The following is a 24,475-nucleotide window of genomic DNA, read 5'->3' as shown; positions in this document are numbered from 1 at the left end:
AAAACTAGTAGTACGGGCAAATGAGCAGTTGACATAGCTTTACAAATATTGTGACCAACCTCCAGCTATTACAGGCCTTGGCTGGACTAAGATGGTTTGCTTGCACTCTAGCTGCTACCAGGGAAGTTAAATCTTCTCTGGAAGAACAACATCTAGAGCCTCTGCTCTCCTTCACATATAGTGTCAGGGATACAATAAAAAAGGCCAGCTGTGCTAAGAAATTCAATGAAGAGGGAAAAACAGACAATAGAAAAAGAACCGTAGAACACAGATACCAGAGTTATCAGACGTGAACCTTAAAATAACTGTGATTAATATGTTCAAGGAAACAGGAATGAGAATTACAACAAAGAATTGGAACCAAATAATCAAATGGAAATTCTAGAACTGAGAAATACAATAACCAAAATTATGAATTCAATAGTCTTTAACAAGATATCAAATATAGCAGAAAAGAGGAATAGTGAGCTACAAAAATACATAAGCAGAAAATATCCATAGTAAAACATGGCTAAAAAACTAAACATTATTTAAAAACAAAAAGGTTGAAAAATGAACTCTGAGAAGGGCTATAAACTCCAAGGATAACTACAAAGAAAATTCACCTAGGCACCTCAGCTAGGCACTACTGAAAACTGAAGATTACCTTGAAAGTTGCTTGAAAAAAACAAATGATACACTACCTTTGAAAAAGCAAAACTAAGACTGGCAGTGTCTTAATGAAAACAATGGAACCCAGAAGACAATGAAGTAACATCTGAAGCGGTGAAAGAACCGAACTGTCAAGCTAGAATTCAACACACAGAGAAAATATCTCTAAAAATTAAACTTGAAGTAGATATTTCCATACAAATAAAAACAGAGATGGTGTCACCAGCAGATCTACATTAAAAGAAACACAGATGTGTTCCAGGCAGAAGAAAAATAATTCCATGTGGAAATATGAAAATGTAAGAAGGCATGAAAAGCAATGGAAAAGTTAAATATATGGATAAGCAAAAATACAATTGATTATATGAGACAATAATTATAATGTCTTAATGGATTGCAAATATATGTGGAATTAAAATACATAGCAAAAATAAAGGTAGAAGGAAGAAAATGCTGTTAATTTTTTTTTTTTTTTTGAGACAGAGTCTCGCTCTGTTGCCCAGGCTGGAGTGCAGTGGTGATCTCAGCTCACTGCAACCTCTGCCTCCTGGATTCAAGCGATTCTCCTGCCTCAGCCTCCCGAGTAGCTGGGACTACAGGTGCACGCTGCCATGCCCAGCTAATTTTTTTTTTGTGTTTTACTAGAGACAGGGTTTCACCGTGTTGCCCAGGCTGGTTGCGAACTCCTGAGCTGAGGCAATCCGCCCGCCTTGGCCTCCCAAAATGCTGGGATTACAGGCGTGAGCCACCACACCTGGCCAAAAATGCTGTTAATTTTTAAGATTGTAACAATAATTTTAATTTTATTAAAAGTAAAAATTTATTTTGGACAGTAATAAGCTGGTTTTATTTATTAACAATAAAAGACTAAGTAAAGAAGGTTAATTAACAAGCTAATACAGAGTGAAAATGGCACAATAAAAGTATTTAATCCAATAGAAGGAAGGAAAAAAGGACAAGGAATTTAAAGCAAGTAAGTGAAATATAAAATAAATAATAGGATAGTAGATATAAAATCCCATACATAGTAACTTACCTAAGTTATTTTTAAAAACTAAGATTGTGGGCCAGGTGTGGTGGCTCTTGCCTGTAATCCTAGCACTTTGGGAGGCTGAGGCGGACAGATCACGAGGTCAAGAGATTGAGACCATCCTGGCCAACGTGGTGAAACCCCGTCTCTACTAAAAATACAAAAATTAGCCGGGTGCAGTGGCACGCACCTGTAATCCCAGCTACTTGGGAGGCTGAGTCAGAAGAATCGCTTGAACCCAGGAGGCAGAGGTTGCAGTGAGCTGAGATCGTGCCACTGCACTCCAGCCTGGCGACAGAGTGAGACTGTGTCTCAAAAAAAAAAAAAAAGATTGTGAGACTGGATGAACAAATAAAACATAACTGAGTATCATTTAGAAAAGAAATACCAAAAATATAGACACTGAAATAATAAAATAATTAAAAAGGATATATCATACAAAAGAAAGGTGCTATACCCATACTAATATCAGACAAATCACACAGTATTGGAGAAAACAGACTTTAAGGTATTTTATATAGACAAAAGGGTCAATTCTCCAGGAACATACAACAAATTTTCATTTGTATGCACACAACATAACTTTAAAAATGTATAAAGTAAAAATAGAATAAAAAGGAAAAATAGATAAATCAATAATCATAGTGAAAAATGTTCATATGGCACCCTCAATGACTCAGAAATCAAACCATTAAGAAAAGGAATGGGCTGGCCAGGTGTGGTGGCTCATGCCTGTAATCCCAGAACTTTGGGAGGCCAAGGCGGGTGGATCACCTGAGGTCCGGAGTTTGCGACCAGCCTGACCAAGGAGAAACCCCGTCTCTACTAAAAATACAAAATTAGCCGGGCGTGGTGGCACATGCCTGTAATCCCAACTACTCCGGAGGCTGAGGCAGGAGAATCGCTTGAACCGGGGAGGTGGAAGTTGCAGTGAGCCAAGATCTTTCCATTGCACTCCAGCCTGGGCAACAAGAGCGAAACTACGTTTCAAAAAAAAAAAAAGAAAAGGAATGGGCTGGACACAGTGGCTCATGCTTGTAATCCCAGTGCTTTGGGAGGCCAAGGCAGGAGGACCGCTTGAGTCTAGGAGTCCAAGACCTGACTGGGCAATATGGTGAAACCTCGTCTCTACAAAAAATTTTAAAAATCAGCCAGGCATGGTGATGTGTTCCTGTAGTCCCAGCTACTCAGGAGGCTGAGGTGGGAGGATCGCCATAAGCCCAGGAGTTCAAGGTTGCCATGAACAATGATCACACCACTGCACTCCAGCCTGGGCAACAGAGCAAGAACTTGTCTCAAAAAACAAAAAAAAGAAAAGAAAAGAAAAGAAAGAAAAAAAGAAAAGAAAAGAAAAAAAGGGGCCGGGCACGGTGGCTCATGCCTGTAATCCCAGCACTTTGGGAGGCCGAGGCGGGTGGATCACGAGGTCAGGAGATCGAGACCATCCTGGCTAACACGGTGAAACCCCGTCTCTACTAAAAATACAAAAAATTAGCCAGGCGTGGTGGTGGGCGCCTGTAGTCCCAGCTACTCAGGAGGATGAGGCAGCAGAATGGCGTGAACCCAGGAGGTGGAGCTTGCAGTGAGCTGAGATTGTGCCACTGCACTCCAGCCTGGGCAACAGAGCGAGACTCCGTCTCAAAAAAAAAAGGAAATGATCTCAACAACCCAATAAACACATTTGACCTCAAATTCTCAATTGTCCCCCATTAGTCTACACTTTCAGCCCAATTCTTATCAAAATTCCAGCAGGAATTTTGTGAAAATTGAATAGCCAATTCTAAAATTCTAAAAGAAGAGGACAAAACTGGAGAATTTACGTCAGCAAGTGTAAGGCTTATTATAATGCTCGAGTAATCTAAAGCAATGTTGTGTTGGCACAAGATTAGACAGAAAGAATGAAAGAGAATAGAGTCCAGAAACAAATCTGTATGCAAACAGACCAATGGAACAGATTATGGAACCCGGAATGAGACCCACGTACATGCAGTCACCTCATATATGACAAAGGTGACAGTGCAGTACAATGGGGGAAAAGGCAGTCTTTCTAGCAAGTGATCCTGGGTCAACTGGATACCCCTATAGAAAATAATGAGCAATCAATCTTCCATATGGACTGTAGACTCAAGTATTTAAGACAAAATACTACAGCTACTATAGGAAAACACAGATCTTCATGTGCTTAAGATGTCCTAAATAGAACACAACAAGCGTTAACCATAGGCAGAAAAAGAAAAAAAAAAGACCTCTGATGAATTCAGGTATCTCAAAATTCAGAATTTCTATTTATCAGATGACATCATTATCCAGAGTGGGAAACAATATTTGCATATATATGACAAGATTCTGCATTTCAAATATACAGCCCTATAAGCCAATAACAAAAGATCAGACAACAAAATAAAAGTGGGGCAAAGATGTATAGATACTTTAAAAAAGAGGGTATTGAAATTCTAAAAGTAAGAAGATCAACTTCAGTTATAACCATACATCCTCTAGAATGGTAGAAAACCTTTTGTAACGATAATACTACGTGTATAAGAGTTGATATGGAAACCTTGCATTTCGCCGGTAGGAGTATAAATTAGTATAACCACTTCGGAAAACTATTTGGCTCTGTCTGTTAGAGTTTGCATATGCATAATCATAGCACTCCTAGCTATTTAATCAAGGAAAATGTGTACCTATGTTTTCTAAAAGTTGCAGAAGAAATGTTCATAATGGTACTATTCGTAATAGCTCTAAGCTAGAAATAAACCAAATGTCTAGCAACAGTAAAATGTACAAATAATGACAGGTTTATATGGCGAAACATTATATAGCAATGAGAATGAACCAACTATTGTTCCAAGTGACAACAAGGATGAATCTCAGACATACTGTTGAAAGCAAGAAGCCAGACACAAAAGAGTACATACTGTATGATTTAAAGTTTAAAAACAGGCAAAACAAATCTATTGCCAGAGTAGTTGTTACCTTTACGACAAAAGAAACTGCGAGGGGACTGGGTGGTTACAAGGGGTGCTGGTAACGTTCTATTTCTTGATGTGAGTGCTGACTACACAGATATATTTAAACAGTAAAAATTCACTGAGTTGGACATTTATGATCTATGTACTTTTAGTATAAAGATGTATATAGAAAACAGTTTCTGTATAAATTTCAAAAAAGTTTGCTTTAAAAAATCTAGGGGACGGCTTTCAAAAATAATAAAAACACCAATTTCTAGCTTTCTTTTCTATCAGCTATTGGATACTGACATCTATTAAAACCTTTTATTGATTGTGATTAAAAACACATCATCTATGTATAAGAGAATACATGACTTGAAATATTTTTTGAGGGTAATTATTTGACTTTTTAAATATTTTATATTACATGATAACACTCATCTTCAAATAGAGTTTACCAAGAGGGGAGTCAAATGCATCCCGGTTTGACCACACTGAAAATTAATTGAGGTGTGAATTAATCCAGTTCAGTAAGACTGGTCTTACTGGCACTGATTTAGCCTGCAGTACAAAAGAGCACTCTGGTGTGAGCAACTCAGGCACACTCACTGGGTCCCAGGTCACTTCAGGGTAGGCTAAATTAAGGAGACCTACCCCTACCTACATTGGAGGTCAGGAGATCGAGACCATCCTGGCTAACACGGTGAAACCCCGTCTCTACTAAAAATACAAAAAATTAGCTGGACGTGGTGGCAGGCGACTGTAGTCCCAGCTACTCGGGAGGCTGAGGCAGGAGAATGGCCTAAACCCAGGAGGTGGAGCTTGCAGTGAGCCGAGATCGTGCCACTGCACTCCAGCCTGGGCGACTGAGTAAGACTTCGTCCCCAAAAAAAATAAAATAAAATAAAAAATAAAAATAAAAAAGATGGTTTTAAAATCCTTAATGTAGGCTTTGAAGTGGCATGCAAGTAGTATGTTCCAAGCCTCCTATATAATGTTGTCAAGAGGTCACACCCAGGGAGGGACCAAACGCTAGACCAATTCACTCCTCAATCACCTAAAGTTTCAAGAATTGGTCCCATCAATTTTATCTCGAAGTGGAAGTTAGGACGAATAAAATAAGAAAGACTGGGCCGGGCGCGGTGGCTCACGCCTGTAATCCCAGCACTTTGGGAGGCCGAGGTGGGCGGATCACGAGGTCAAGAGATCGAGACCACCCTGGCCAACATGGTGAAACCCTGTCTCTACTAAAAACACAAAAATTATCCGGGCGTGGTGGCAGGCGCCTGTAGTCCCAGCTACTCGGGAGACTGAGGCAGGAGAATCGCTTGAACTCGGGAGGCGGAGCTTGCAGTGAGCCGAGATTGTACCACTGCACTCCAGCTTGGTAACAGAGTGAGACTCCATCTAAAAAAACAAACAAACAAAAAATACAAAAAATTAGCCGGGCATGGTGGCGGGCGCCTGTATTCCCAGCTACTCGGGAGGCTGAGGCAGGAGAATGGTATGAACCCGGGAGGCAGAGCTTGCAGTGAGCCGAGATCGTGCCACTGCACTCCAGCCTGAGTGACAGAGAGAGACTCCGTCTCAAAATAAATAAATAAATAAATAAATAAATAAATAAATAAATAAATAAATTAAATAAAATAAAATAAAGACTGGTTTAAGGTCAGTTTACCCTGACCTTAGGTGCCCAGATCCTCTTCCCATCCTTTTCCCAACTCAAGGGAACTGGGGGATTTGCCCTTTCTCAATGTGGCAAAAGACTTGAGGCTTTTTTTTTTTTTTTTTTTCTTTTCAGGAGAGCAAAACAAAGTTGCTCTGGACGGAAGATGCCTGGGGCGGGAGAACTGTGTTGGGGCCGGAGAACTGTGTTGAAGACTGAAGCCCCACTTACCCAGAACGTCCAAAAAGGACGTTAGTCTTCCCACTGCCTGGATAGGCAATGAGGGATTACTAGCTGTAACTGAGGAAAGCTTCTCACAAGAAAGAAATACCAAAATCATCAAACAGAAAACTAGAGAAAACGGACCCAATGATGGGAGAAGAAAATGTCTTTGAAAATCATTATCTTTAAATGTAAGATATTTTAACTGTAAAACAGGAATAAGAGCTTATTTTTGAAAAAGGCAATATTCAGAGAAACAAGAGTTCTTGGAAATCAAAAATGATTAGAGGATTCAAAAACAAAATAGAGTTCCTTTTGTAAACAATTAGAAAACCAGAAAAAAGTAGGAAATGACTGTTTTGAGGTAAATGACAAATGTGGTGGAGGACAGTGGTTCCTGAGAGAAGGGAAACAAGCCAGGTAAGACCTACAGATGCCCCAGTTTAGTCCCTGGAGGCAGACTCCAGGTCATGGCACAGGAGCAAAACAGAGCCCAGGGGTCTCAATAAATTGAGGGCACAGAGATCAGGGTTTGGGAAGGCCATGGCTACAATCTGTAAGCCACCAAAGAGAAGAAAGCCACAGAAACTGAATTTGCAGTTTAAAACTGTCCCACAAGTCTTCTGCTCCTGGCCCAGAAGACTTCACTAGTTCTGTCAAATATTTAATAAAGAAATAACAGCATTTTGACACAAATTTTCCCAGAAAACAGAAGGAGAAATTTCCCAATTCATTTTGTGAGACTAACATTACTCTGAGAGCAGAGACAGAGATGTTATAAGGAAAGGAAACTATAGACTAATATCACTCATGAATATCAATGCAAACTCTTTAACAAAATGTTCACAAATTTGATTCAGCAATACTTAAAAAGGATAGTAAGTTGAGACTAAGTTATGCTTATACCAGTAATACAACTTTGACTTGGTCCTTAAAAACCAATGTAATTCATTTTATCAACCACAGCATCATCTTAAGGACTGAGAAAAACAATTGACAAAAATTTAGTATCTATTTGTGATAAAACTCTCACATCAAACCAGAAATGGGCATAAACTTCCTCAACCTAATAAAGAGCGTCTACAAAAAGCCTACTGCTAACATCATACTGATGGTGAAAGGCTGAATGCTTTCCCACTAAGACAGGGAAGAAGGCAAGGCCACCCCACTACAGCTCCTACTCAACTTTGTGCAGGAGGTCCTAACCAGTGCAATAAGAAGCAACCAGATAGATCCCATATACATGGCTGTGGGAATACAGAATGGAATGGTTGCTTTGAAAATAGTTTCACAGTTTATTACGGAGTTAAACACACACTTAGTATACAACCAGCAATCCTACTCCTAGGCAATTACCCTAATGAGAACATATGCCCACAAAAAAACATGTAAACTATCCACAAAAACTTACACAAGAATGTTCATAGTGGCTTTAGCCCAAAACTGAAAGCAACTCAAATCCTCACTGGTGATGAATGGATGAGCAAACCGTGGTACATCCATACAGTGGGAGGCTACTCAGCAATGGCAAGGAACTGCTGACATGTGAAACAACAGGGATGAGTGTCAAAGACATCATGCCAGTAAAGAAGCCAGACAGAAAGAGCACGCACTGGGCAACTCCATTCACATGAAATCCTGGAGAGGGGTACTCGCAGTGGCAGCAAGTAGGTTAGTCGCTGCCAGGCCCTGTGGGCAGGGGAAGGAATTAACAGCAAAGGAGTAAGACAGAACTTTGGGGCATAAGAAAAATGTTGTCTTCCTTGATTTGGTGATGGCTACAAATTGTATAAATTTGTCAAAACTGATCAAATTTTACACTTCAAATTGGTGAATTTTATTCCATGTAATTGTAATCTGATGAAGCTGAGTAAGAATTATTTTTAAAATCTCAGTAGAAGAGTTGGAAGACAAAGTTGTGGAAACCTGTCAAAAAGCACATACACCAAAGTGCATAAAAGATGAGAATTTTGATAATAAGAAAATTAGAAGACCAATCTAGGGTGTCCATTATTAGTATCAAGTATTCCACAAAGAGAAAAAGAAAAAAACTGAAGGTGGAAATCAAACAATAATAGAGAAAATGTCCTAGAGTCAATGGGCAGGAATTTTATTTTACTTATTTATTTTTATTTTTTTAAGACACAGTTTCACTCTGTTGCCCAGCTGTTGTCCAGCCTGGCACTCCAGCCAGGCTGAAGTGCAGTGGTACAATCTCAGCTCACTGCAACCACTGCCTCCTGGGTTCAAGTGATTCTTGTGCCTCAGTCTTCCGAGTAGCTGGGATTACAGGCTCCCACCACCACACCCGGCTAATTTTTGTATTTTTATAGAGATGGGGTTTTGCCACGTCAGCCAGGCTGGTCTCGAACTTCTGACTTCAAGTGATCCACCTGCCTCGGCCTCCCAAAGTGCTGGGATTACAGGTGTGAGCCAACATGCCTGGTTGGGCAGGAATTTTAGACGGAAAGTTTCACTAAATGCTCAGCCAAAGGCTCACCAATGCTCAGTGGATAAAAATAGAACCACAGTAGGGAACATCACTGGGAAATTTAAGATCACTGGAGTAAATGAGAAAATCTTGCAAGTTTTCAGAGAGGAAAAACAGGTTACAAATGATTAAGAAACAGAGTGATTTTGGATTTCTTAACAGCAGCCTGAGGTCCAGAAAACAATGGAGTAATGTCAAATTTCTGAAGGAAAATGATTTCCAGTGCTGAATTCTATCCAGTTGAATGATCCATAAAGTGTCAGGGAGTAAAAAAGACATCTACAGACAGGCTAGGGTAGAAAATATGCATTTCCTTGCATTCTTCCTGAGGAAGCTACAAGGAGATGTATGCCACCAAAAGGAGAGAGCAAACCACGAAAGAAGACACGAGACACAGTGAACAGCGTAGTGAACGGCCAAGGATAGAAGGGGATTCTCAGGATGCCAGCTGGGCACCAGATGCAGAAGGCCAAGCCTTCTAGAATGGAGGTCAGAAGGCTCCAGAAAAGATGAAGACAATGAGAGAAATAATGAGATCAAATTAATGATCAATATAAACTAAACTAAGAACCAATGAATTCTAGGAATACATTGCTTAGGAAAGCAAAAGTGGTCATAATTTCCGACACAGCTCAGTTATGACTAGTGTTTAAGAATGTAAACATTGACTACTGACCAAGTCAAAGCTACACTACAACCGAGAGGACAGCGAATGGAAATCCAACAAGCAGGAGTCACTGAAGGGGCAGGGGCTGAGTTTAAGCCTCACTTCGTATAGAAAGAATTCAATACATGTCTAAAACTGAAAAGTCAAGAGGTAGCAACACAAACATGTCACTTGCAGAAATGGAAGCAAATATATCAAATAATCAGCTAAAAGAAGAGGGAGTGGCTACTTCTAGAGAGGGGAAAATGGGGAAGTGGGGGGAAAGAGCCACCATTGTTCACCACAAACCTCATACAGTTTCATTAAATGCTTGTATTACTTCAATTAAAAATAAATGCTTAAAATAAAGAAAAGGGGGAAAAAACAGAATAAACTCCAAAAAAGTTGAAGGAAACAGTGAAGAACAAAAATTAATAAAATAAACAAAAATAGAAAGGATCAGCAAAGTCACATGTTTAGTCATTTAAAAGTCTAATAAAAGACAAACTTTTGACAACATTTACACAGAAAAAAAAGAAAAAGGTAAATATTATTAGAAATTAACTTATTCAACAAATACATACTGAGACCTAGTATTGCCCAAGATACAAGAGCAAACAAGACAAAGTCCTTCCCTCATGGATCAAAAGATAGGAAAGATGATTTAAACAGGACACCGAAAGCACTAAGAATAAAGATCATAAAGACAAAGACTAATAGATTTTACTTCCTCAGGTAAGAACTTCTGTTCATAAAGAAAGAGACACGGTAGGCTATAGACTGGAGAAGATAACGGACATTCATACAAACTGATAAAGTAGAGATTCCTAAATACAGACAGAGCTCCTATAAACGAATACAAAAAGAAACTGTCATAGAAAAACGGGCAAAGAATAGGAATGTGTAAGTCGTAGAAAGTAAATAATCAATAAATATATGAAAAGATGTTCAACCTCGGCGCGGTGGCTCACGCCTGTAATCCCAGCACTTTGGGAGGCCGAGGCGGGCGGATCACGAGGTCAGGAGATCGAGACCATCCCGGCTAAAACGGTGAAACCCCGTCTCTACTAAAAATACAAAAAATTAGCCGGGAGCAGTGGCGGGCGCCTGTAGTCCCAGCTACTCGGGAGGCTGAGGCAGGAGAATGGCGTGAACCCGGGAGGAGGAGCTTGCAGTGAGCCGAGATCGCGCCACAGCACTCCCGCCTGGGCGACAGAACGAGACTCCGTCTCAAAAAAAAAAAAAAAACAAGATGTTCAACCTCACTAGTAATGAAGGAAACATAAATGAAAACCACAAGATACCATTTCTCAGGAATAAGACTAACAGAATTTTTAGAAACTCTGATAGTTTCAAATTTGGGCAGGGATTTAAGTAACAGAAACTTGCATCAACTGTTAGTATAATTTGGAACAACTAATTTGATGATCAATCTGAGAATATCTAGTGAAGTTGAAGGAGCATATAACCTTAAATCCAGTACCTCTACATCTATGAATACACGCAAAGAAACTCCCAAACAAGGTCCATGTATATAAGGAAACATATACAAGAATATTCAGGTCAGCATTATCCATAATAGTAAAAAGTCTGGAAATAACTTACACAGCCAGCAGCAGGAGACTGGATAAAGTAAGGTATATCACTGAAGGAAAAGTGCAATTTCAGAAATGACCTAGAGCTACGTGCCTCAACATGGATCTGAAAAAAGCCAGTTGTAGAAAGGTTTCTACAGTAAAGTACATACATGTTAAGTTTTAAAGCACGCAACGGCAAAGCAAATATTGCTTAGATCTATAGACGTCTGTGGCAAACCCACAAAGAGAAGCACAGGAGATGCTGGTATAAAATTCAAGCTAGTAGCTCTCTTTGTTATAAGAGGAAGAAAACACAAAGAGAGGCACAGTGGACTTCAAAAGTGCTGCAGCGCTCCAGTACCCAAGCTGGATGGTGAGGCACGGGCCTTTCTTCCTTATCATTCTTTAAACTGTTCAAAAATACTACATATTATTTTGTGTATACATGATGTACGATATTCAAAATAAATTTATTTTATAGTGAAACAAAGAAATGATAATGGTGTGTGTAGAAATTACATGTAAGAGCAATAAATAAGAAACAGTTCTTTAAGGCCGGGTGCAGTGGCTCATGCCTGTAATCCCAGCACTTTGGGAGGCCGAGGTGGGCGGATCACAAGGTCAGGAGATCGAGAGCATCTGGGCCAACATGGTGAAACCCCATCTCTACTAAAAACACAAAAATTAGCCGGGCGTGGTGGCAGGCACCGGTAGTCCCAGCTCTTCTGGAGGCTGAGGCAGGAGAATAGCTTGAACCCGGTAGGCAGAGGTTGTAGTGAGCCGAGATCACGCCACTGCACTCCAGCCTGGACAACAAGAGCGAAACTCTTGTCTCAAAAAAAAAAAAAAGAAAGAAATGGTTCTTTAAAAGAAAATTCCAAGCAAATTTAAGAGAAAAAAGTTCAGATAAAATTGGAAATAAGAGGACATAATATACAATATTAAAATAATAGATAATACATAGTTGTAATCTAATACATTTTATAACTCAAAAAAGATAAAGCTAAAGAATAAAATGTACAATCGATGTAGCAAAAATAAACCTCAACAGATTAATAAATAAGGAAGAAATTATAAAAGGTATTAGCAACTCCTCAATTAAGGAATCACCGAGCATTGGTGAGCCTTTGGCTGAGCATTCCTTTACGTTTGGTGAGTGGACAATTTATATGTAATTAAAACTATTTTGGAGAAGGGAAAAAAGTGCAACACTTGAAGGGTCGGGCGAGTCTCCTGCCGGCTTCATGCTAACCCTGACTTGCCTCTTAAAAGCAGCATTACATCAGTCCAAATTAATTCAGCAGTTGAGGCTCCATTTTCTGCGAAGTGGAGTCAGTCATCCTTGCCTCACAGGTTATAAGGATGAAAAGGCGCAGCCAACACAAATCCCCCCAAATCTCTCAGCACGGTGCTGATCCACAGGTGCTCAAATGTCAGCTTTCTCCCCTTCCCCTAGCTCATGGCACAGAGAATAGAAAAACTAAGAAGGAAAGCTATTTACCAAGGACTTTTTCATATTATGATTAAAAATAAGTGTCAGCCAGGTACGGTGGCTCACACCTGTAATCCCAGAACTTTGGGAGGCTGAGGCTGGCGGATCACTTGAGCCCAGGAGTTTGAGACCAGCCTGGGCAACATAGTGAGACCTTGTCTCCACACACAAAAAAAGTGTGCATTCTAAACCATGACTAATTAGTGCAACAATGGAAAATTACTAGATCCAATTCCTTGAAAACCTATTATCATTGCTCTCTATGGTCTTTGATGTCTTAGCCAGTCATTAAGAATGAAACAGAGGCCGGGCGTGGTGGCTCACACCTGTAATCCCAGCACTTTGGGAGGCTAAGGTGGGCGGATCACGAGGTCAAGAGATCAAGACCATCCTGGCCAACATGGTAAAACCCCATCTCTACTAAAAATACAAAAATTAGCTGGGCATGGTGGTGCACACCTATAATCTCAGCTACTTGGGAGGCTGAGGCAGAAGAATCACTTGAACCCAGGAGGCGGAGATTGCAGTGAACCAAGATTGCGCCACTGCACTCCAGCCTGGTGACAGAACGAGACTCTGTCTCAAAAAACAACAACAAAAAACAAAAAAAAGGAAATGAAACAGAAATAAGAGAAAAAAACTAAAAATGAATCCAACAAATATGTTGAGAATGAACATGAATTAGAAACTGACAAGTGACAATAGTAGCTATTTGAAAATGACCAGCACGTCATCATAGCAGAAATTCCCAGTGGACAAAAAACAAAATAGATCTATTTTTTAAAAATATAACCTTATTAGGAGGCTGAGGTAGGAGGATTGAAGTCCAGAGTTTGAGATCAGCCTGGGCAAACTACTAAAAAAAAAGACCAGGCACAGTGGCTCACGCCTGTAATCCCAGCACTTTGGGAGGCTGAGGGGGGCGGATCACCAGAGGTCACGAGTTTGAGAACAGCCTGGCCAACATGACAAAACCTCATCTCTAGTAAAACTACAAAAAATTAGCTGCGCGAGGTGGCAGGCGCCTGTAATCCCAGCTACTTGGGAGGCAGAGGCAGGAGAATCGCTTGAACTCGGGAGAACGGAGGTTGCAGTTAGCCGAGACTGCACCACTGCACTCCAGCCTGGGTGACAGAGTGAGACTCCAACTCAAATAAAATAAAAAATAAAAAATAAATAAAAATTAGCCAGGCAGTGGCAAGCAGCTGTAGTCTCAGCTATTTAGGAGCCTGAGGTTGCAGTGAGCCATGATTACACCACTGCACTCCAGCCTGGGTAACAGAAGGAGACTGTGTCTTCAAAAAAAAAAAAATCTGTGTACATATAATTTATATCAATTATACATTATGTAAATTTATTATTTATTTTTAAATATAAATTATATAAATTCATAGAATAATTTATATAAAATATATATTAAATTTTACATAAATTAGATCTACATATAAAATTTTAATAGGAAATGGGAAAGCTATAAAACTTTCTTGAGACATAAATTAAGTCTTCTCTGACGTCTGACTGGCTAACTGCTAATCACCCTTCCCAAACCAGCCTCAGTGCGGCATCTCCACGAAACTCAGAAATCATGCCTGCGGGAACAGAGTGTGGGCAGGGGCCCAGATGCACTGAACTGTGGTTGGCTGTACCTTCATGTCATCACCCACACCTGACTATGAAATCTCTGTAGGCACAAAAGTCCTCTTCACCTCCATACTCCTCTCTCAAGGGTGCAATGAAGAATTAGACTCCATGAATCATGAATGAATGGATGATTGAATGATTTAGGTGAAAACAGTGATGCCAAGGTGGTAGAACTGTGGATGAATTTCTTTTAATTGCCTCCATTTTTGTTATAAGACTATTTGTATAATACAGAATAAAATATTTAAAATGCCTTAGTTTGGTAATGGAATATACAAATTCATAGACTATTCAGAATATTATTGGGTATATTAAAAATTGTTTGTTGACAACTGAGTTTTAGAGTTAAGATTTTTAATTTCTAGACACATGAGGTGGCTCACGCCTGTAATCCCAGCACTCTGGGAGGCTGAGGGGGGCGAATCACTTAAGATCAGGAATTCGACACCATGCTGGCCAACATGGTGAAACCCCATCTCTACTAGAAATACAAAAATTAGCCAGGCGTGGTGACACACGCCTGTAATCCCAGCTACTCGGGAAGCTGAGGTAGGAGAATTGCTCGAACCCAAGAGGCGGAGGTTGCAGTGAGCTGAGATTGCGCCACTGCACTCCTGCCTGGGTGACACAGCGAGGCTCCGTCTCAAAAAATAAAAAAAAATAAAGAGATATTTAATTTCCATAACAAATTGGGTTCTAGATATTCCAGGTACACAGTTATTTATTGTAGGATATAAATTCCCGCCTACTGCATTGGGTTACCGTGAAGAATCTGTAGCAAAAGGTTTATAAAAATACTCCACAGCCTGCAAAATGCTAGCTGACAGGGAGACGCTACAGTGCTTGGATAAGGCACCAAGCTCTCTCGAATACTGGGGATTAAGGGAGAAAAACACACCACTGCCCTTAAGCCACCGATACAATGAGCTTCTCAAGACAAGTAACCATCACCAAACTGTCATGTCTTTTGTATCCCCAGGCAACAAGTCTGTGCCACTTACTAGGTGCCAAGCACTACGCTAGGTGTGAGCAACACAGCAAAATATACAATAACCTGGGCTCCATGGCACTTGCAGTCAAAGACAATGGCCAGCAAAACGTAGAAGATAAATAACCCACGTGGACAAACACATATGGAGGTAGTTGAAGACAAGTGCAATGTGTAGCTAGAGGAGATACCTTGTGGGCACATGATAACTGGCTCTTAACACCAGAAGCTGCCATGCTGTGGCTCCTCATGAGAGAAGGGCAGGCAGAGACTGCACTGTCAGATGCTGAACAGGACACCCATGAATGGGGGTGTGGGGAGAACTGCCCAGATGAAGTTGAGTCTTTTCTAGACCAGAGACTCTACTAATCTACGCCAAACAGGGAGAGAAGAAAAATCATTGCGGGGAGGGTCCAGGCCTGCTACATGTTGGTAGTGCAGGCTGGAACAAAAGTAGCAACAAGGTATTCAGGTGAACGAATGTGAAACAGGCTCTTTCTCAATCCTCAGGCAGGTGCATCTGCAAGCCTCCCTGCCTTCCCTACGGAGCCTTCCCTACCCAGCAGGGCTCCTCCCGGTGTCTCCCACACACATGATTCTTACCAAGACAGAAGCCTCCAGGGGTGTCCTCTGGCATCCACACTTCCCTTTTTTCTAGCTGGGAAAACGTATCTGGTTTGGGTCCTAAGAGTCCTGTTTTTAAGGGGAGACAAAAATGAACCACATCTGTTTATACGAGAGATAAAAATCACTGCAAAGACAAAGCCTGGTCCTCAGAGCTTGCTGGGAAATGGGACTTGATAGGAAAGCCCAGGGTCAGGTGTGTTCCCAGAGGGAGGAAAAGATTACTCAGGCCTGACACAATCTTATCCCATGTTCCCCTCCTTGCCAGAAAGAAAGCATTTGACCCTAGTCACTTTTGAGGCATCCGCAGTGGACTCCAAAAGAGGCCTGTGCCCAGGACACCAAGGACAGGTAAAATTAATGGCACCCTTGAAGACAGCGTCCTCAGTTGGTCCAACCGACTCTTCTATATGGTGTCAATGTAAGGGTCCCAAAGAGATCCCCAAAAGTGAAGAGAAACCTTGCAGGGGTCCCACTTACCCAGTGAGACCAGGTTGCTGTAGTTCTCCAGCATCACGTCCCTGTACAGGGCCCTCTGGGCGGGGCTCAGCTGCCCCCACTCTTCCTGGGTGAACAGTATAGCCACATCCTTGAAGGTCACCGATTCCTGCAACAGCAAATTCATTCTCCTTGACCAGGGGCTACCCCTGCACATGGTTCTCTGGAAAAGAGACTGGCAGCCCCTAGGAGCTTGTGCGCATTTACAGGACTGCTGGCACACAGGGAGCTGGCGTTCTGTGACAAGTTCATCACTCTTCAGGGTCTCCTAGGGGCCTAGCCTTGGACTAGACATTGCTCTCCACGCTGAAGAAACATATATGGTGGCGAAGATAGGCTTTCTCAGCACTGGGACTTCCAACTTGCCATTCATTTAGCCCAGAACATTTTCTCCATCTCCCTCAAACCGCCTAGCCCTGCCTCTCCGCTCACCCCAGGGGACCAAATCCTACGCAGGTCTCAGCATAGACACGGCTCACTCAACACCGCTCGCTCAGCGCAGCCTTCCCTGATGGCTCCTACAGTTGCCTATGAGGGCCCATCAAGACACTGTCCCATTTTATTGTGATGTTTGGTTTACCTTCAGTCTCCCCCGCTGGACTGTTAACTCCAAGATGTGGACTGTCTGTCTCTACATCTCTTGGCCTTCCCTGCATCTGGAACACGGCCCATGTACTCGACACCTATCTGTGGCTGCTCAGCAACTCCTGCTTTTCTTCAGTGTGTACCTCCCCATCCTCAACACACACACACACCCATACCCACACCCCCCCACACACAGAGACACACACACACAAGCATACATACCCATACCCTTCCACATACACACACACACAAAACACACACCCATATCCACACCCCCTACACACAGAGACACATACACAAGCACACAGACACACACATACACCTATATACAAACACAGACCCATACCCACACCCCCCACACAGAGATGCACAGACACAAGCATACACACCCATATCCCTCCACATACACACACACGACACACCCCCCCCACATTCACATACACACACAAGCATACACACACCCATATCCGTACCCCTCACAAACACACATAAACTCACACACAGACACAGAGACACACACACACAACCCATATCCATACACCCACATACAAACACACACAAACATACACAGACAGACACGTACCACACAAGTGCGCATGCACATACACACAACACATACCCATACCCATACCCCAACATACAAATACACACACAGAGACACACACACAAACACACAGACACATACACACAAACTCACATACAAAGACACAGCCCTACACATCCCCCAGACCCTCAACACACACACGACACACACGCACACATGCAAGCGCGCACACACACCCGAACACACACACCCCCCCACAAATACCCCCACACACACCCTGTGACACACACCCTCAACACACACACACACATGCACACGTGTGCACATGTGCATACACACACATGGGTCCCATGGAACCAGTCATTCTGCACAATAGGAAACTTGTTCCTTCTGATTAGAACTAGTCCCTTTCTTAGAAACTCTGAGAGGGGGTCACAGAGGAAAGTCTCTCTGTCCTGACACACAGGTGTAGCCGAAACCTAACCTAGCATGTAAAATCCAGTAGCTATCACAGCTCTTGTCTTCCCAGTTGGCTGAGAAGTTAAGGGAGCTGGTGTTCACTGAGAAAAAAGAGGTAAGCAGAAGCCCAGAGAAGGAACCAAAGGTCCAAGAGAAAGGACTCTCAGGTTATTGTAGATCCCACTTCCACAGTCAACATCTAGCTGTGTCTTTGCCTTTGCATTTGGGGGAACACCTCCATATCTTTCCAGTCAGTGCCTGCTTCTGCCTGAGGCAGTCTGAATTAGGTTTCCGTTACCTGCACCCAGAGACTTGGCCCATGACAGGCAGTCAAGAAACACTTGGATGGAAGCCATGAACCAATTTGTCAGGGCCCATTTATCGTTCACTTTGTATTTGTAGCCCAGATCATAATTCCTGGCACATTTTACAGCCCTAACATATGTCTGCTGAATGGCAACCAAATCAAGGCAGCCTATAAACACAAGATAAATTGTATGACACCGACAGTGACTTTGAGGAAAAGGTTAAGGAAGGAAAATATCACAGTAGACTGGCACTGTGGGTGCGGACAGGTTTTGCAGAAAAAGTGGTGCATGAGAAGGGTCCTAAGTGACAAGTCAGAAGCCAAGAGGAGGAGGGGAACAGCCGGTGAGCTGTGCTATGTTGAACATGGCGCTCCCACCTAGCTGGTCATCCTTTCCAGTGATTCCTGCCACACATCCCAGTCCTTGGGGAGGTTTAAATGTGAAGGAATTAGAACAATTTAACCAAATGTATCAGAATGTATATGCCCAAATGAATGCTGTCTCCTTCAAAGCACAGTCCATATTCTTTTTTATTTTTTATTTTTGAGATGGAGTCTCGCTCTGTCACTCAGGCTGGAGTGCACTGGCACAATCTTGGCTCACTGCAAGCTCCGCCTCCTGGGTTCACGCCATTCTCCTGCCTCAGCCTCCCGAGTAGCTGGGACTACAGGCGCCCACCACCACGCCCAGCTAATTTTTTTTGTAATTTTAGTAGAGACGGGGTTTCACTGTGTTAGCCAGGATGGTCTCGATCTCCTGACCTCGTGATCCGCTGGCCTTGGCCTCCCAAAGTGCTGGGATTACAGGCGTGAGCCACCGCGTCTGGCCCATATTCTTATTCTAAAGATGCTAGGACTGCTCAAAGCGTTTTAGGAATTTATAGGACTTTTTGGCAGAATAGTCTTTTGAATAATTTCATTGGTAAAAAAACCAAATGTCATAAAAGAAAAAGAGTCTAGTAAATCACACCTCCCCAGAAAAGTGTTCCTACAATGCCCTTCTTTGAGCTCTGTGTGAGATACTGCCCTGATATAGTTTGGATGTATGTCCCTTCCAACTCTCCTGTTGAAATGTGACCTCCAATGTTGGAGGGGGGGCCTGGTGGGAGGTGTTGGATCATGGGGGTAGATCCCTCGTGAATGGCTTAGTGCCATCCTCTTGGTGATGAGTGAATTCTCGCTCAGTTGGTTCACGTGAGATCCAGTTGTTTAAGAGTCTAGGACCTCCCACTTCTCTCTCTTGCTCCCTTTCTCACCGTGTGATACACCTGCTCCCCCTTCACCTTCTGCCATGATTGGAAGCTTTTAAAGTCCTCATCAGAAGTGGATGCTGACACCATGCTTCCTGTACAGCCTACAGAACCGTGGGCCAATTAAACTTCTTATCAATTCCCCAGCCTCAGATATTTATTTAGAGCAATGTAAAAAGGGACTAATACATGCTTTTACCACTTCAGATCCCTAATCTTACTTGCTAGTGAAAAGAGTACAGGTTTTGATTTCACAGGGACCTGGGTTCCAGTCCCAGCTGTGACATTTATGTGACCTTTAGCAAGTTATACAGCTGCAACACCCACCAGGATGAGCCGGATATGGGGCGGGGTTGGAGGGTGTTGGTTGGGGAGAGGCAACTGAGGTCAGTGTCTGGGTGGGACTGGATTGGGAATAAAGCTCCCGGTCTGAGGAAGCAAACATGCCACACTCTTCAAATCCAGAAAGCAATTTAGGGGGAAGAAACCCCCACTCACCTGGACCATGGTTGGCAGGTGGCTGACAGCCATTCTTTCTTCTCCGATGAGCCCTCTTAGGGACAGGCAAAGTGCTATGGAGGCAGGTGTGGAGCTTCACACCTGCAGGACTCCTCAGGCTAGAAGGGTCCACACACCTGCTATTAGGAGAGAACTGGGTCAAAAGCTCTCATACAGCAGTCCAGAGCGAGGCAGTGAGCATTCACATCCTGGGAGGCCTCCAGTACCCCAAGCAGTGAGTGTTTTGGTTCCTGTTTGCTCCCCATTCTCTCTCCTCCTTCTGAGGGTACTATACATTGACTTTTCCCTGCAGAAAGCCTGCTCCAGGTCCAGTTCTCATGCCTTCCACCCACCCTCTGGTCTTTCCCTTCAGCCTCACTGAGCGATCTCAAGAGAATTCTTTTTTTGTTTGTTTGTTTGAGACAGAGTCTCGCTCTGTCACCTAGGCTGGAGTGCAGTGGCACGATCTTGGCTCACTGCAACCTCCGCCTTCCGGGTTCAAGCGATTCTCCCGCCCCAGTCTCCGGAGTAGCTGGGATTACACGCACCCGCCACCACGCCCGGCTAATTTTTTATATTTTTAGTAGAGACCGGGATTTCACCATGTTGGTCGGACTGGTCTCGAACTCCGGACCTCAGGTGATCGGCTCGCCTCGGCCTCCCAAAGTACTGGGATTACAGGCGTGAGCCGCCGCACTCGGCCGAGAATTATCTCTTTAACAAGTTATTCAGCTCCAGAACCCACCAGGATGTACCCGAAAAGGTGGGAGCGCTGGGGAGAGGCAACGGAGGGCAGTGTCTGGGTTCGACTGGATTGGAAGACCGCTCCGCTCTCCCTCTGCGGCTTTGGAACAGCTGCCTTATCTGGCAGTGACAGGAGAAGAGGAAAAGGAGGGTGGTCTTCTTCCTCCTCAGAAAGGAGGCTAAGAAGGCTCTTCACTGTCGAAGCCTCTCAGGCAAACCCTTCTCTGGCCTCAGTGTTCTCACTCTCTGGGGCCCAGTCTGGGTGGCCTGGAGTCACGGGTGGGCAGAAGCGGCGTTTGTGTGAGCTGGGCGGGAGGGGAGAGGGAAGGGTTAGGAACCCTAATCACACACAGCCCCGTCCCGCCCCTGCCGCTTCGCCAGGTCCCTCGGGGGCTGTGGCAGGGGCTGCGCAGCGGCTGCCTCCGGCCTTGGCGAGTTCCTGGCGCAGGACTCGGAACCACGCCAGGCGTGTATCTATCACCTGAGAGGAAACCCTGGGCTTCTCGGAGTCCGCTCCAAGACACATGCCAGAGGCCCTGGCTCCATCTCCTCCACAGGCACTCACAGACTCGACCCTCAGCCCAGGATGACCACCCCTGGCCGTCCTCCCTCTCTGGGATCAAATCTCAGACATACATTCCGGGAAGTTTGGGGCATTCGATCAGCGTCCTCCAGAATGGACCACAACCCGCACCTCCTCGGCTTTGCCTCCGCCCTTCTCCCCAGACGACCTCACGACCGCTCCCGCTCTCCCTCTGCGGCTTTGACCACCGTGCCTGGTCAGCCCCGTGTCGCTCTTCGAGGAGCCTCTGCCGGCGGCGAGAGATCGCAAGCGCCACATCGCAGTCAGAACACAATGAGCTGGAGTCTGCAGCCGGGAGCCGAACTGCGCTTGCGCGTTGCCCTGGGAACCCTTGGGCCGAATTCCCACAAGTCTCAGGGCTGCTGCAGTTCCGCCGGCCAGACTCCACTTCCCAGAGGGACAATCGGCGGAGACAGTGCTGCCTTGCGCCTGCGGGAACAGGGCCCGGCCCCGGCGCTTTAGGCGCGGAAACTACCTTTCCCAGAGACCCCTCCACGCCGACCTCAGCGCGCTCATTGCAACTTACAGAATCGGTTCCGTTCCGTTCGCTTTAGAACCAGGTCTCTGCCTTGCACTAAGGCGCAGGAAGATGCAGATCAGCGAAAAGCTGAAGATGGGGCAAGGGAGGTTAGTCCAGGGGAGCGACGCCCGATCGCTGACGAGAGAGGATCGGGAGGGTCCGGAAGACGGAGTGGGAGGCGACAGGGCGCGTTCCTGACTGGGACCGCGCCGAAAAGGCCTGGAAGGCAACAGAATTGCCCCTTGGCCTGGCAAGCGCCCGACACTTCCAGCCTGGCACTGCGGGCGGGCCAGCGTGTGCTGGGGTGGCGACGCCACAGCCACTAACGCGTGTGCGGTGCGGGAGGACAAGGATGTCGGGCAGGGATGTCCTGCTTGGCACCTCAGGACAGAGCCCATGGTGGCTGGCGGCCCCTGGAATGTTCGGGACGCAGAACACTTCGTGCTTGGGAACTTCTCAGAGGTGGGGACGAGGGAGAGGAAGGCGCCTGGATGCCAGGAAGTCTCCATCTTGGACAGCTGGGTGGTATTTAAGAAGGTGGTATTTATTTTTGTCGACCATATTTTGCAGAGACTGGCAAGGATGAGATGATGCCTAAGAATATCCAACTGGAGATACTTAGTTGCTTTTGAATAGGTAATTTGCATGGAGCTCAGGAAGGAAAGATGAGAGGGTTTTAACTTTGTTGGTCGTTAAAAAAAATCAAGAATGTGACCTGTTTGTCACATACGGAATTGTTGGCCACGTTTTAGGAAGCAGTGTCAGTGACTACAGCATTCTGTTTGGAGTTTTATTGAAGATTTCATTCCATAGACACTTTGGAGCACTTATGTGTCAAGTGCTTGACAAGGCCAGGGTCAGCCGCTGTGCAGCCCCTGTAGCAGTTCCCAGGGACCCGGCAAAGCACCAGAGGGGGAGGATGTTGTGTGAGTATCGCTGGTAACCCTTCTCTCTCGCCTCCCTCGTGACTCCAGGTCACTCAAACTGGGCTCCAGAGAGTAAGAACCCCGAGTCCAGGGGCTGGAGAAATAGCTGTGAAAACCCTGCACTCATGGAGTTTTAATTGTACTAGAGGAGGGGTCAGACAAGTAGAAAGTATTTATCTGGTAGTGATAACACTACTGTTAGGGGTTAGGGTGTGATGGGGCGGGGAATTATTTCAAGCAGCAGTTTTGGAAGTTCTCTTTGAGGAGGTAACACCTGAGCAGAGATTTGAATACAGTGAGGGAAGAAACGATGTGACTGTATGGGTAAAGTGCCTTCTAAAGGGAGGGAACAGAAATGCTGACCAGAGAGAAGTGTGCTTGGTGAACTCCAGGCTTGGCAAGGTCAGTATGACTGGCGAGGGCCTACTGAACAAGGAAGACTGCGAGATGCTGTTGCAGGAGTAACTACAGGCCTTGAAGGAAGGAAATTTGGATTTATTTCTGTGCCTGGAAATGATTAGATTTGAAAGAGTGACATGGCTGGGCACGTTTTGATAGACGCACTGGTCAGCTTCAAAGAAGGCAGACAGTGGTGGGGCTAGAGGGGATACAGGAAGACCAATGAGGAGGCAATGACAGCAGTCCACAATTACAAGTAGCCTCCCACAATTATATAACCTTTCCACAAGGCATTTGCTTTGAGAGCCTAATGATTCTAAGATATTGAAGGGTTTTGGGTGCTATGCTCAGGAGTTTGGATATTATTGTTTTCAGGAATTTAAGAATGATAATATGTATTGAGCACTAACTACATGTTGGGAGTTTTTTTGTTTGAGACACAGTTTCACTTTTGTTGCCCGGGCTGGGGTGCAATGGCATGACCTCGGCTTACCGCAAGCTCCGCCTCCCGGGTTCAAGCAATTCTCCTGCCTCAGCCTCCCCTGTAGCTGGGACTACATGCATGCGCCATCACGCCTGGATAATTTTGTACTTTTAGTAGAGATGGGGTTTCCCCAGGTTGGTCAGGCTGAACTCCTGACTTCAGGTGATCCGCCCGCATCGGCCCCCTAAAGTGCTGGGATTACAGGCATGAGCCACTGCGCCTGGCCATGTTGGGCACTTTTACAAGCACTTTACATTATCTAATGCAACCAAAAACTGAGGTTTGCCCTATTAATAAATGAGAAAACTGAGGCACTCATCTGTTAAGTGCCTTGCTCAGGTCCCATGTCCTTGGAACCAGGAGTCCTTCTCCTGTTGATGTTGGAAGGTTCAAAAGTGCTCTTATTACTTGTCACCCAGATGGCAAAGAACTGACATACAAAGGCCCAAGTCTTCCAGAACTGAAAACAGTAATAAAACCTTCATTTATCTGACCCATTTGTCCTGGTGATGCTGTAGTCTGTTAGGAGTACCTAACAGGTGCCCTTCCACAGCCAACTAAAAAACAAAACTATTCAAGCTGAAGAGAAGCAGTGAAACCTCTGATATGAAGCCTGACACACCCTTTGACTTTAGCCAGGACTCACACACTATATTGTTCTGAGTATTCACTGAGGAAGCCCCCGCTTCTGTCAAGGAT

At 44.3% G+C, this 24,475-nt stretch overlaps 1 protein-coding gene and 1 long non-coding RNA gene across 10 annotated transcripts in view; one reads left to right on the top strand and one right to left on the bottom strand.

Annotated features, from left to right (window-relative positions):
* Positions 1-21,747, bottom strand: part of ZNF454 (zinc finger protein 454) — a 48,831-nt gene extending 27,084 nt beyond the window's left edge. For 2 of the 9 annotated variants that reach the window (XR_007058600.1, NM_001178089.3), the window contains exons 1-4: positions 21,501-21,747; positions 20,121-20,260; positions 16,460-16,586; positions 15,959-16,048 (exon numbers count right to left, since the gene is read on the bottom strand). Coding sequence is in view for 8 of the 9 variants with exons in the window: in NM_001178089.3 (NP_001171560.1) it covers positions 15,959-16,048; positions 16,460-16,586; positions 20,121-20,153 (250 nt within the window). In the remaining variant the exon portion in view is untranslated. Of the gene's footprint in view, positions 1-2,022; positions 6,040-15,958; positions 16,049-16,459; positions 16,587-20,120; positions 20,261-21,500 lie in introns of those variants that run through there. The other 7 variants (NM_001323307.2, NM_001323308.2, NM_001323310.2 and 4 more) reach the window with 7 other exon arrangements.
* Positions 21,748-21,929: 182 nt separating this feature from the next.
* Positions 21,930-24,269, top strand: ZNF454-DT (ZNF454 divergent transcript). Its single transcript, NR_186409.1, has one exon. It is a non-coding gene; the product is annotated as a ZNF454 divergent transcript (long non-coding RNA).
* Positions 24,270-24,475: the final 206 nt, after the last annotated feature.

Source organism: Homo sapiens, chromosome 5, assembly GCF_000001405.40.
Source record: "Homo sapiens chromosome 5, GRCh38.p14 Primary Assembly".
Classification (NCBI taxonomy): domain Eukaryota; kingdom Metazoa; phylum Chordata; class Mammalia; order Primates; family Hominidae; genus Homo; species Homo sapiens.
This window is presented reverse-complemented; position numbering and strand designations above follow the sequence as displayed.